The following is a 13,851-nucleotide window of genomic DNA, read 5'->3' as shown; positions in this document are numbered from 1 at the left end:
ATGATAACAAACCAGAAACCTGATGCTAAGATCTAATGTCTTGTGAGATAAAACTGTAGGGAATTTGACTCACTCATGGCACAAAAAGGAGAAACGATAAAAGGATATCTTAAACAAATTGATACTTTTGACAAGAAAGGTACTACGAAATTACAGCAAACTGGCTTGAAAATGTTTCCCTTATATTAGATTTGGACTGGCTGCTCCGTTATTTGCTATGTCGCATTAGAAAATGAAAAACCACAATTCAGAGAAGTTGTAGTTGGCATTTTAAAATTCCATGTTATTGTTGAATAATATTTGCATAATATGTGTAAATCAGCAGAAAAACATTAAAACTGTACAATTTTCCTGTATTGCAGGTACTTATGTTATTTCCTCATTTAAAATGCTACTGATTTCTAGCATATAAATTTGTGTGAGGTTTAATAACTTTAGCATCAATCTCACTTGTAACTTCCCAATTATTTTCGTCTTCTATATCAGTAGGGCTTCAGTCACTTAGGAAATAGAAAGACAGAACTGAGGAACCTGAACCCTGAAGTCTAAATACTGAATTACCTAGGAACACATACATGGTTCTAATTGTTTCTTACATATGCCGCTCTTCTCTAATGTTGTTACTTCTTGTTTGTAGCTGTTCTGCCCGAACCTGTCACTCCCATGAGGTCTTTCATCTTCCCTGGCATTACAGCCACCTGCAAATCCTAGTGGCTAAATTAATAGAAATTGAGTTATTAATTAATCCACATTCCACAGCCTCATTCTGAATTCAGAAAAATAACCCTTCAGAAGGCAAAATGACTTAATGCATATGGAAAATTAATAGGCAATTTGAGACTAAGCTTTTCTTGCTCTGTGCCTTTGTACCACTCAGAAATAACGCTGGAAATCCTAACATGCCTCTCACCCCAAGAGACCACGACCAGCTTTAAGATATGACACATTTAAGAGTCGATTCCTAGTGTTTAGTGTAGAAGACATTCAAAAATTCATCTGTGGCTTGGAAGCTGAAAAAAATACAAATATCTGCTGCCCTCTCCTTTATTTCTAAATAGAGATAGAGTCTCACTATGTGGCCCGGCTTGGTCCTGACTTCCCCTTTTATTAAAGGGGAAATAGTACATTTGTCTAATATTATGTAATAATTGAATCTGTAATCATTATATCCACAGGATCTAGCACATTACATTTTACAGTAGATACTTAATAAATATATATTGAATAAGTAAAATAATGATTTGTATTAGTGAGTTCCCTAGAAATAGACTCTGAGTGAAAAATGTGAGCGGAAAACTTATCTGAAAGTGCTCTTAGGAGATGCATCTCTAAGTGGGTGAGAAAGGCAGGATTGGGCTGAGGGAGAGCGGGCCTTTCCTGTGGTCACAATTGAGGCCTCAAGCAACCTTATAGGGATTTCTGGAGCTGGGGTAACCCTTCCAAATTGTTCCAAGTTAAGACAAGGAGTCAGTCTCTTCATCCTTATTGGTTATTGGCCGTGGACTGTCACCTGGGAGGACACATGCTCAGCGAGGCAGGCGAAGGGAGTTTCCATAGGAGGTGCAGCCCAGAGCCATCACTAGCTAATGTTCTCAGCATCTGTGAGAAGAGTGAGCCAGCCCTGAAGAGAGAATCTAGGTGTAATTAGTACCACAGGGTACACTCTTAACTTATTTTTTTCCATGTTTGGGGAGTTTTTAAGTAAAGAAAATGCAAAATAAAATACACAGCTTCAACTCATAGTATCTATTCTCTTAGTCCTACGTCGCTCTCTCTGCTCGTTGAAGAGAACTGATGCTTTCTTCTTTGCTTAGAAAAAAGAAACAATTCTCTTTCAGCTGAACACATGGGAATTGGGGCAAAGGAATACAGAGTGGTCAGATCGTAAAGAACAAGTATGGAGCCCCTGTCCAAGTAGACGCTGACGTGTTTCAAGTTCATTACTTCATTTGCAATCCCCTGTTGATATACTCATTAAGACACTGATTCATGACTTTCCATGTGGAAGGCATTTGGAGGTGGGCAATGTTGAAAGCAATATTCATCCTGTCTGTAGTAGACATGTTATTGTGTCCTCAACAGTTGACCCCCTGTTCTTCAAGAGTGCCCCCAATGAAGCCCATGTGGAATATTTGCAGTCCTGCTGCTGTGCGTTTGGCAGGTGACTCTGCCATTCCAGCCTCTGTAGGTTTGTTAGGGAGTCGTGTCATCAAGCTGCCAAGGGACATGCACAGATTACTCCAAAAATATTAAAATATTACAGTATTTTAAAAAAGACAACGCTTTAATTTGTTGGCTATTTCTCAATTCAGGTATATGTATTTTATTTAATAATAAAACAAGGAACAAGATTTAGAAAAGCTATTATGCATGGAATACTAGACATTGGAAATCAGTGTAGTCATTTTAGATATTTATTCATTTAATACTTAAACTAGATACAAGAGGTGCATGTCATTATTACCATTTACTTTTTGTGAATGAGGAATATGGGATCAATTGTGTACAGATGTAATATGGTTTGGATTTGTGTCCCCACCCAAATCCCATGTCCGCTTGTAGATCTCAGTGCTGGAGGAGGGCCTGGTGGGCAGTGACTAGAGCATGGGGTTGGATTTTCCCCTTGCCGTCCTCGTGATAGTGTGTGATAATGAGTTATCATGAGATCTGGTTGTTTAAAAGTGTGTGACACCTCCTCCCTCTCTCTCTTCCTCCTTCTCCAGCCATATAATATGTGCCTGATTCCCCTTCACCTTCTGTCATGATTGAAAGTTTCCTGAGGGCCAGGCATGGTGGCTCAAAACTATAATCGCAACACTTTGGGAGGCTGAGGTGGGAAGACTGCTTGAGCCCAGGAGTTTGAGTCCGGCCTCAGAAACATGGTGAAACCCCATCTCTACAAAAAAATATGTATATAAAAATCAGCTGGGCAGAGTGGCTATAGTCCCACCTACTCAAGAAGCTGAGACTGGAGAAGAGCTTGAGCCCAGGAGGCCGAGGTTGCAGTGAGGCGAGACGGTGCCATTGCATTCCAGACTGGGTAGCAAAGTGAAAGGCTGTCTTAGGAAAAAAAAAAAAGTTCCCTGAGGCCTCCCCAGCCATGCTTCCTGCAGAGCCTGTGAAATAGTGAGCCAATTAAACCTTTATTCTTTGGAAATTACCCAGTTTCAGGTAGCTCTTCATAGCAGTGCCAGAATGGACTAGTACAATACACTTGGTTTGCTAATAAGTGGAGTGGTTGGAAGAAGAAAAAACTTTTTTTTAAATTTTCTTGAATTAATTGCCTTATAATGCCCTATCCTAATATTGGTCAACAATTCCTATCCAAATCGCTTGGGGATAGCTGTCTGTTAGAATTTTTTGACATTTAAGAAGGTGATAAAGGCTGGGCGTGGTGACTCACACCTGTAATCCCAGAATTCTGGGATGCTGAGGCGGGTGGATCACCTGAGGCCAATACGGTGAAACCCTGCCTCTACTAAAAATATAAAAATTAGCTGGGCGGGGTGGCACATGCCTGTAATCCTACCTACTCCGGAGGCTGAGGAAGGGGAATCACTTAGACCCAGGAGGCGGAGGTTGCAGTGAGCCGAGATGGTGCCACTGCACTTCAGCGTGGGTGACAGAGTGACACTCTGTCTCAAAAAAAAAAAAAAAAAAAAAAAGAAAGAAAAAAAGGGAATACGGAATATACAGATCATATAACATTATAATGACCTCCTGATATGTCTGGACCAGTACCCTTAAACATATGCATTGTTATTTCTTTAATTAAAGGCAGAAATGCTCACATTAAATTGGATAAACGAAGGCAACAAATGCCTCAGAAAAAAAGCAGGCCAAAACAGGCTGGATTTATTTCAATATTTTTATGACATGATTTCTGTTTTCAGAACTTTTTACATTTTGGAATATTGAATAAAAAAATTTTGGTCCAAACTTATGTGGATTTCAAAAACCAACAACTTGCAATCTCTCTCTGGGGAAAGGTGAGACTTTGATTTTCCCTGGACCCTCCCAGGCAGTGTTCATAGATAGATACTCATGATCCTTCTCTGGAGCTCCAGGCAGTGTTCATAGATACTCATGATCCTTCTCTGGGGCTTCAGGCAGTGTTCACAGATACTCAGGATCTTGCGTGAGGCTCCAGGCAGTGTTCATACATACTCAGAGGATCCTTCTCTGGGGCTCCAGGCAGTATTCATAGATATTCATGATCCTGCGTGGGGCCCCAGGCAGTGTTCATAGATACTCAGGGTCCTTCTCTGGGGCTTCAGGCAGTGTTCATAGATACTCAGGATCTTGCACGGGGTTCCAGGCAGTGTTCATAGATACTCAGAGGATCCTTCTCTGGGGCTCCAGGCAGTATTCATAGATATTCATGATCCTGCGTGGGGCTCCAGGCAGTGTTCATGGATACTCAGGGTCTTTCTCTGGGGCTTCAGGAAGTGTTCATAGATACTCAGGATCTTGCACGGGTTTTCAGGCAATGTTCAGAGATACTCATGATCCTGCGCTGGGGCTCCAGGCAGTATTCACAGGTGCTCAGGATCCTGTGCTGGGAACCTGAGTATGGATCCTGAGTGTCTATGAACACTGCCTGAAGCTCACGATTCGGCACTGGGGTGCAGGACATGCTCATCTGCTTCCCTACTGACATCATCTGCTGATGCCTCTTTGCTATTGGGGTTTGGCTTTTGCATTAGTGGATATTTAGCCACATCTGTTTTCACTATTCACTAAGTGACGGCTGTACACTCCCCTCATGACAAGCAAATCTACCTCCAGATACTGCACAGTCTTCCCTGGGGGAAAACCTCTACCGTGGTTGACGACTAAATGTGCAACTATTTTAAATTTAAACAATATCTTTTTTGTTTTTAAAATTATTCCTTTTGTTTTGAAAATGATTCTCTACTTCTTGAAATTCTTGTTTTCTTTTTCTGATATTAAAGCAATTGTACTCTCAAATTGACATGTTTCATTTTTTATCAAGAAAATTCATATTTTGTGCTATATAAGATGTTTAGAAATCCTTATGACATGGACATTTAGATGGAGATAGAATACCAACGTGACTGACAAAAAATGATTTAAATCGAGTGGGATAAAAATCAAAGCTAGGTTTTCGTGGGAAAGTGATGCAAATTTTCTACATGCTCGACTGTGTGCTATTATTATGCCTTATCTCATTTAATCTTTGTAATAACCCTATATTATAGTTAGTATTATTTATCTCATTTTGCATGTGAAAGAGTCAAGACTGAGTGAGTTTAAATAGGCTGTTCAATGTGACACACTAGTACACTGTTAAAAGTTAAATGTTTTAAAATGGTGTATAATTTACAGCAAAAGAGCTTATTTTAAATATACAGCTCTGTGAATTTCTACCAAGGTATACATGTTTAGAAGCACCCCCAATTAATTATGAGACTATTCCAGGACCCAAGAAAGCCTTTTTATGCCCCTAACAACTCATACAAACCGTGCAAGGCAGTCAATCTCTATAGATTATTTTTTCCTTTCCTTGGACTACATTGTCTTATGCACTGTATATCTTCTGTCTTATTATTTTATTCACTAATATATCCGTCAGATTTTTTTCATGTTGTCGAATCAGTATAGTGCTGTGTGCTATTCCATTGCATGGCTATACCCCAACTTACCATTCTACCATTAATCAATATTGACTTGATCCCATCTGAGGCTATTATAAATAAAGTTGGTATTAACATTCCTGTATGTTGTGTATTTTCATAGCCAAAATCCATCATTTTGTTAGGCTTGCTATATTCAAGAGTAGAATTATTGGTTTGTAATTTATGCCAGTGTTTAGCTGTCCAGGTCCTGCTTAGGTTTCTTCGATAGCTGTCATCTACTTATCTCAAATCAAAAAGGTATGAGAGTTGTCATTGTTTTAGATTCTGGGTGTTATCTGTCTTCTAAATTTATGCTATTGTGGTAGGATTAATTAGTATCTCCTTGTTACTTTTAAATTTCTACTTGTCTGATGAATAATCATGTTTAACAACTTGTTACATGTTAATGGGTATTTTGATATTCTCCTTTGTAAATCCTTTATTGAAGACATTTGCTCATTTTTTAATTGAGTTGTCTCTCTTTTATTATTGATTTGAAATAGTTCTATATATTTTATGGAGATGAGTCCATTATCAAATGAATATATTACAAATATTTTATCCCAGTTTGTGGCTGACTTTTCACTTACTTATGATATTTTGATGAGTGAAAAACTATTCTTTAAGTCAATCATTTATGCAAAATGCTTTCTCAGTCCTATTTAACAAATTCCTCTTTCTATCTTAATAATAAACCTATCCACCTAGCTGTTTTTCTTTAGAAGCTTGAAAGTTTAACTTACTAACTTTAAGTCAATGATCCATCACAAGTTAAATTTTGCCAGTGTTTAAAATAATTATCCAAGTGATTCAATACAATTAATTGAGAAGACTAGTCATTCTCAGTTGAACTGCCAATTATGCCTTTGTTATAAAATCAGATTAACTTATGTGACTGGGTTTATTTCTGGACACTCAAGTCTGTCCCATTGATCTATTTGTCAATACCAAATACTCCTAAATTCTGGATCTTTACAAAAAGCCTTATTATCTGGTAGTGTGTGACCTCTACCTTTGAACTTGAAGATAGCCATGCCTAGTAGTAGATCTTTGTATTTCCATATAAATTAATAGTAATGTTAATCTTCTCAGATGGCTTGCTTAATTTAACTTTTATCTTATTGAATCCATAGATGAATTTGGAAAAATTGGCATGTATAAAGTTATCTGATGCATGAACATTATACAGTTCTCTCCATTGATGTGGGTGTCCTTGAGTTTTTCTCAAGAATATTTCTCAATTTACAGCATATTAATCCTGCTCATATTTTAGTTCACTCATTTCTAAGTACTTGATGTTTTTCAAATACTGCTATAGTAGGTGTTTTGTATTTTGTTCCCTCTGTCTTGCTGATACATGCAAATAAAATGGATTATTTTTGTACTGATTTTGTTTCCAGGAACCTCATTGAGTTCGTTTGTTGTTATAGTAGACTGAATAATATTTTAGATTGCGTTTTATTTCACTCTGTCTCACATTATTTTCTATTTAGGGGCTTTTGTACAAATTGGGTTTGGAATGGTAGTACTTGAGGACTAAGCTCTGATTTTTTTTTTTATCTTGCCCAAATTCCTATCTAAGGGGTCTGGAGAGTCAGGCCCTATAAGCCACAAATTCTCATCAGATGTGTCTTATTTAATCCTATATACCATGATTTACTTTCCAGTCTGACTCTGGCATAACATTATGTGACAAAGAAGAAACTCAAAATATTTTACCCCAAAACATGTTTCTTTGCCGTATCTTGAAATGGCCCTGCAAAACTGCCCTTTGTGAGGGAAAATCTGCATCTGTAAAAAATCTCTATTAACATAGCTAGATCTTTTTCTTTCAGGCCCTCCCAATCCTAATGAGATTAACTAAGAGAGTCTAGCACCTTTTAAAGATCTGAATAGAACACATTTGTCATCTATTGTCTCTAAGAGCAGCCACTATAAGACTTCAGAAGAACCTTGGTCTCCATACTCTTTTATCTTAACTTGAACATTTACGTTCTATGATCCCAGGTCTTTAGACAAGCTCAACCAGTTTAAAGAAAATCTTTAAACTTACCTTACCAGGTCTAGCCTGGCAGACCCCCCACAACACACTTCCAGTTGTCCCACCTTATGTATTTCTTAAATGTATTTGATTGATGTCTCATGCCTCCCTAAATTGTATGAAATCAAGCTGCGCCCCGACCTCCTTGGGCACATGTTCCCAGGACCTGCTGAGGGCTGTGTCACCGGCCATGGGCACTCATATTTGGCTCAGAATGCATCTCTTCAAATATTTTAGAGAGTTTGACTCTTTTCACGGACATACTCATCCATGTTTTATACAGAATCATAAGAAAAAAGCTTCTGAAATTTCCTCATTAAGTATGAAGTATGATGTTAGCTGTCATTTTTATAACATGTTCTTTATCAGATTGCAAAAGTTCCCCTCTATTCCTGATTTGCTGAGAATTTAATCATGATTTTTTATTTATGAAATCCTTTTTTATATTAAATTACTATTTTATTATTTATTCAATTAAATGTGATAAATTACATTCATTTGTTTTTAATATATTAAATAAACCATATTTTTGGAATACATTCCATTATTATATACCTTTTTATTATTTATCATTTATTAATTATTTCATACATAAGCACATTCTATTTGCTAGTATTTTCTTTAGTATTCTTGTGTGTGTGTGTTTGTGAATATATAATGAGAGAATATATAAGAATATAATATATAATCGTATATATCTATATATAAGAATATATAAGACAAAATATATGAGAACATATATATGTATATAGATATGAATATATACGTATTCATGAGAGGTATTGCCCAGTAATTTTCCTTCAGTGAAATGCCCTTATGAAGTTTTGCTATCAAGCTTTTGCTAGTCTTGTAAAATGCATTTGGAAATATTCTGTTTTCTATCCTCTGCAATATTCAAGCAAGTTTAATATTATCTCTCTCACAAATTTTGAGAATTCACCTTTGAAAATATCTGAGCCTGAAGTTTTCTTTATGAAAATGTATTAATTATGGTTTCAATTTATTTAAAGACATAGACTGTTCATATTTTCTATTTTTCCTGGTATCAATTTTTATGTTATATTTTTCCAAAGGATCAGCAAACATCATAAAAATTTTCAAATCTATTATGATAAACTTATTAAAAATAACTCTCCTTTGTCACTCAGATATCTGTAGTATTTGTAGTGGGAACCTCTATTTCATTCTTGGTATTTGTAATTGTTTTTTCTTCATTTTTCTGTTAGTCATGCTGGAGATTTATGAATTTTATTAATCTTTTCAAAGAACATATTTCTGGCTGTATTGATTTTTTTCTATTTTATTTGTTTTTAAAATTTTATTTACTGCTGTTTTCGTGTTTATTATTTTGCGCCATCTTATTTCTGTGGACTTAATTTGCTGTTATTTATATGGTTCTTAGCTAAAGGCAAGATCCTTTATTTTATGGCTTTTAAATTTTCTTCTCTAGTATATGCATTTAAAGCTATAACTTTTCCTATAAAATATGGTTTGGCTGCATGTCCGATGCTTATTATCATGCAACTTAAAGCATTTTTTAACTCCTTTGTACTTTTATTCTTTAATGAGTTATTTTTAAATGTGTTTGTTAATTTGCAGTGATGTTGATCTTTTAGTTATCTTTCTATTCTTGATTTTTATTTAATTCTACTGAAGTCAAAAAATTTACTGAATGACTTAAAACATTAAAACATACAATGTGTGCTCCCTTGCCAGATATATGGTCTATTTTGGTCAATGGGTTGTCTATGTATTAGGAGAATTTGCATGCTCTACTTGTTGGATATATAGCCTTCCAAAAATATCAATTAATACAAGTCAGTTCACCTTTATGTTTAAATTTTCTACTGTATTAGTGCTTTTCTAACCATTTTTCTTATCACTTGCTGAGGATATATGTTAAAATTCCTAAACATAATTCCAGGATTATCTACTTCTTATCTAATTTCTTTCTATATTCTATGCCTTGAAATTGTTATTAATTGTCCCCACGTATAAGTCTTATGTATTTCTAATTATTAAACCCTTTGTTAATATAAAAGATCTTTCATTATCTATCTTAATACTTCTTACCCTACATATTTTTATCTGATGCTAATATAGCCACATCTGATAACTATTTTTGGTTTGAAAGTGCAGGATAAACCCTTGCCCCTTTGTTGTTTAAGTTTTTCTACATCTTGTATTGAAAAGGACCTGTTGTAAATTTTATGTATCTGGATTTCTAAATTCAGTTTATCTAGTTTCAAAATATTTTCCTTTAATCAACTTTGTTGAACTATAATTGGCACAGAACAAACTATATGTATTTAAATTATACAACTGGTAAATTTTATTATAAAGTATTCTAATAGAAAATTATTAACAATCTCTCATGGTTGTGTCTCCTTTTTTATCTTAATCAATGAAGTATTAAATCATTATAATTATTATTATCATTAATATAGCATTATTTTTACAGTTGTTGTGTTCTCTCCACACTAACAGGGTGGGCTCCACTCCCAAAATTTTACTTGGAGGTAGAGAGTGATGACTCCGCACAGGTGCCGAGAGTGTAGGAAGATGTTTACTATTCACATAATGAGGCTTTCCTGCAAGGGCAGGGTGAGCTCCGATACCGTCCAAAATGGCTTAAAAAGCGGGAAACGGGGACTAGCATGGAGTTTGGTGGATTCTGTGGGGAACCCATGAGGGTTCCCACACGTGGGCTGTGCCTGCCTGGCTCGAACTTCCTGATGGAGCCCAAGGCTGGGGACCCTGGCTTGTGTGTCAGCTTGCCCATGGGTGAGCCAGGTAGAGCAGGAGCAGAAGGGTTCGCCTTGAAAGCACTCAGCAGTCAGACATCAAAAATAGTTCGTTTTTTAAATGTGCATGGGTATTATCTTTTTAGTTGAAGATACTTTTACAATATTACAAAACTTTCCTTCGATGTATTACTGTATTCTGCTTTAAAGTTGTAATTTTATCTCTTCCTTAACCACATAAGCACCTCAGAAAAGTGATTCTGGGTGTTCAGTATGGCACCTTCACCCAGGGCCTGATCTTTCCTGAGACTTAAATAAAAACCTGTGGTGGCTGGGCACGGTGACTCACGCCTGTAATCCCAGCACTTTGGGAGGCCGAGGCGGGCGGATCACAAGGTCAGGAGTTCGAGACCCGCCTGAACAACACAGTGAAACCACGTGTCTACTAAAAATACAAAAAATTAGCTGGGCATGGTGGTGCATGCCTGTAATCCCGGCTACTCAGGAGGCTGAGGCAGGAGAATTGCTTGAACCCAGGAGGCGCAGGTTGCAGTGAGCCGAGATTGTGCCATTGCACCCCAGCCTAGGCAACCAGAGCAAAAAACTCCGGAAAAACAAACAAACAAACAAACAAAAAACACCCTGGGATTTCCTCTAAGGAGATTCCTCTCTGCCTGAGTTTAAACTCTACCGTGTCCTGTTCACTGTGCGGCTACCAACACCTCTCATCATCTCAGCAGCCCCTGCAGCCATCCTCCTCATGAAGCCAGATACTCGAGGGTAAATTTTACACCTATCATGGAGTCTCCTTCTTTGGCTCCCTTCCCTCTCTCCTTTGGAAATTTCCTTATTGTAAAAGCTGCTCACCTTTCCACCCTGTGTTGTGTGCTATCTACAGTGATATAAAGGCAGTTGTTTTTAGATAAGTTGTCAAGGTTTTGTAATTCTTTGGGGTGAGAAGGCAAGTCTGTGATAGCTAGGTTGTGAGTTTGGATTTTAGATTGCATGTATTTGACTTCTGAGTGAGAACTCAACTTGCTACCATAAGGCAAAGAATTCAAAGTGAAGTTCTCACCTCATTTTCAAGCCATCTTCAGCCTAAACTCAATTTCCAAAGGGAAAGCTACAAAAAGAAGTAATTTTTAAATGATAACCATTCTACCTAAGGGTATCCTCTCCAGGGATATGCATGCATTTCTGTTCTTGCATTCTCTATGTCTATTGCTAGCCAGATATGGTCCCAGACACGTGTGACTAATTTCTTGCAGTGAATAAATTCTTATGATAACTCTGAGAAAAGTATACCTTATTACTCCCACTAGCAAATAATCAAAGTAAATTTCAACTAATCTCAGCTATCAAAGGAGCAGTAAGCAAGGGCTAAATGAGCAATCAAGGTTTCAAATTCCAAATTCAGGGTGCATTCCATTTCAGTACATTACTTCCTACTTCACTCCTGAATAATTTCCATTTTAAGATTCTTCTCATTGATATTAGTTAAAAAAAATCCGTAAAATTTAGGTGCACATTGTAAATGCACTGACATTTAAAGGATAATTTAAAAGGTAATGAAATAAAGGCAGTTTGTTGTTTTAATTTCATCATCCCTTTTTCCTATCTTCCATGCAGTCAAGTGTTATCCCATCACTACTAAAGTTGACTCAACCTTTTTTTATAGGTTATGTGATTTTCCAAGTAAAAACACATCATTTGTTTAAATCAATATAATGTTACAATTTAGTTTCAGTTTATATTTAGCCTATAGTTTTCTCTAAAACATTTCTAATTTTTAAAAAAGTTTTGTATTTAAAGCAGGAGATAATGTTATAATTAGAACTATTTTGAGAAAGGGATAGAGTGTTAGGGTATAGACAATATAATGTTTTATTTTTTAACATGATAGACTACCGTTATGACCTTTTTAAAGAATAAATACACCTCTCTCTCTCTCTCTTTCTCTCTCTCTCTGCATGTGCATGCATGCATCTGTATGTCTTCTTTTTTTTTCTGTTCTAAGAGTTGAAAGATCAAGAAAAGAAGGATGATAGAGAGTTAAACTTAGATAATAGAAGTTTAATAAGATCTTTCTTTGCACTTTTCAGAGTGGCTTTAATGAATTTTGTTTCAGTAACATAAGGAGAGTTGAAGTGTCACTAAGCCCCACACTTTGTCAGAAACATTTTATGTTAACCTGGTATGTGAATTAAAGGCAGCCTTAGATTTAGATGTTTCCTGTTTATTGCTGATCCAAGGAGTAAGCCTCGCAGCTCTTTAAAGGATAAATTCATTTTGGGTAAAGTTAGTTTCAGATTTATTACTCATTTAACCCCGGTACAGCACAAAGTGTTGAATAGAATGCAAATAAATAGAAAGTTCTGGGCTTGCTTCCAACTAAGTCTTTGACAAAAATGGCCAATCACCATGGGCAACCATGCTCCTCAGCTCCCTGGAAACCTACTTCTACCATAGGCTAATAATGCCTAGATGTCTTTTTCTGTCATTGTAAGCACTGGCAAGTCTCCAAAAAGGAGAGGGCATTAGACAAATGTACATTGACAAACACAACTACCGTCTTGTGCTAGTGGATGTGATATATATGGATTATTTTATCCACAGTGTCATATGGTCAAAGATACCAAAATACCAAGCATGCTCTGTTAAACCCATTTTTTGAATCACACTAAGTAGAGTCACAGAGTGAGCCCTGGCTGCAGCAGGAAGCAGTAAATAAGCCAGTACCTAAAAGGATTCACAGGGAGCTACATTGAAAGCTGCCTTGCAAATCGGGACATGGATAAGTCATGGCAGAGACCTGAGCAGACTTAAATGACAAAAACACCCTTGCCTTGGAATGCCTTCTACAGAATTCCATATATATCTGTCAGCAAGAGGGAGAATTTATATGGGAAACAGGACAGATGGCAGTGGCTAAAACAGTGGCCAACAATCGCGTGCTACTGTATCCAGGCAGGCATCCCAAACCTTGGCAGGGGAAGAAGTTGGCAATGATTGTCACTTGGCCTACTGCTACTAATGTCTGATACTCCTAAGCTAATGGTTGTTTCTTCAAATTGTGAGTAAATTAATGCTAATCAGGCAGAGAAATTTGGCTGCAATTGTTTTTCTAACCCCCCTATCAGAAGCCACTGGTGAATTGCAGTACTTGTGTTCTATGTATCTTTTTACATATATGCCACCCACAGGATTTCTTTATTCCTTCACTTTCAGCTGGAACATCCAAAAAGCTTGGAATTCATCACCCACATCTGTAGAACAAGAAAATGCTGAGCAAATTGAAAATGGGTGACTTTTCTTTGACATATCAGAGAAGTGAGGTTGCATGGGAAAGCACCATCCTGAAATCTGAAAGCGCAGGTGAGTTCAAAGAGTTAGAGCCTACTGGGCGCGGTGGCTCACTCCTGTAATC

At 36.8% G+C, this 13,851-nt stretch overlaps 2 annotated features.

The window, feature by feature from the left end:
- Positions 7,494 to 8,009: an enhancer, noted in NCBI's record as "OCT4-NANOG hESC enhancer chr8:5070081-5070596 (GRCh37/hg19 assembly coordinates)". NCBI's record gives its function as "activates a minimal SCP1, AML or CMV promoter by ChIP-STARR-seq in naive and primed H9 embryonic stem cells {active_cell/tissue: H9 hESC(naive and primed)}" and the evidence as "EXISTENCE:reporter gene assay evidence [ECO:0000049][PMID:30033119]".
- Positions 12,402 to 12,571: an enhancer, noted in NCBI's record as "experimental_103308 CRE fragment used in MPRA reporter constructs". NCBI's record gives its function as "activates a minimal promoter by MPRAs in K562 erythroleukemia cells, with activity observed for both the introgressed and non-introgressed 8:5065604 variant alleles {active_cell/tissue: K562}" and the evidence as "EXISTENCE:reporter gene assay evidence [ECO:0000049][PMID:34662402]".

Source organism: Homo sapiens, chromosome 8, assembly GCF_000001405.40.
Source record: "Homo sapiens chromosome 8, GRCh38.p14 Primary Assembly".
In the NCBI taxonomy this organism is placed as follows: Eukaryota; Metazoa; Chordata; class Mammalia; order Primates; family Hominidae; genus Homo; species Homo sapiens.
Note: the sequence above shows the minus strand (reverse complement) of the source record. Positions and strands in the feature narration are given on the sequence as shown.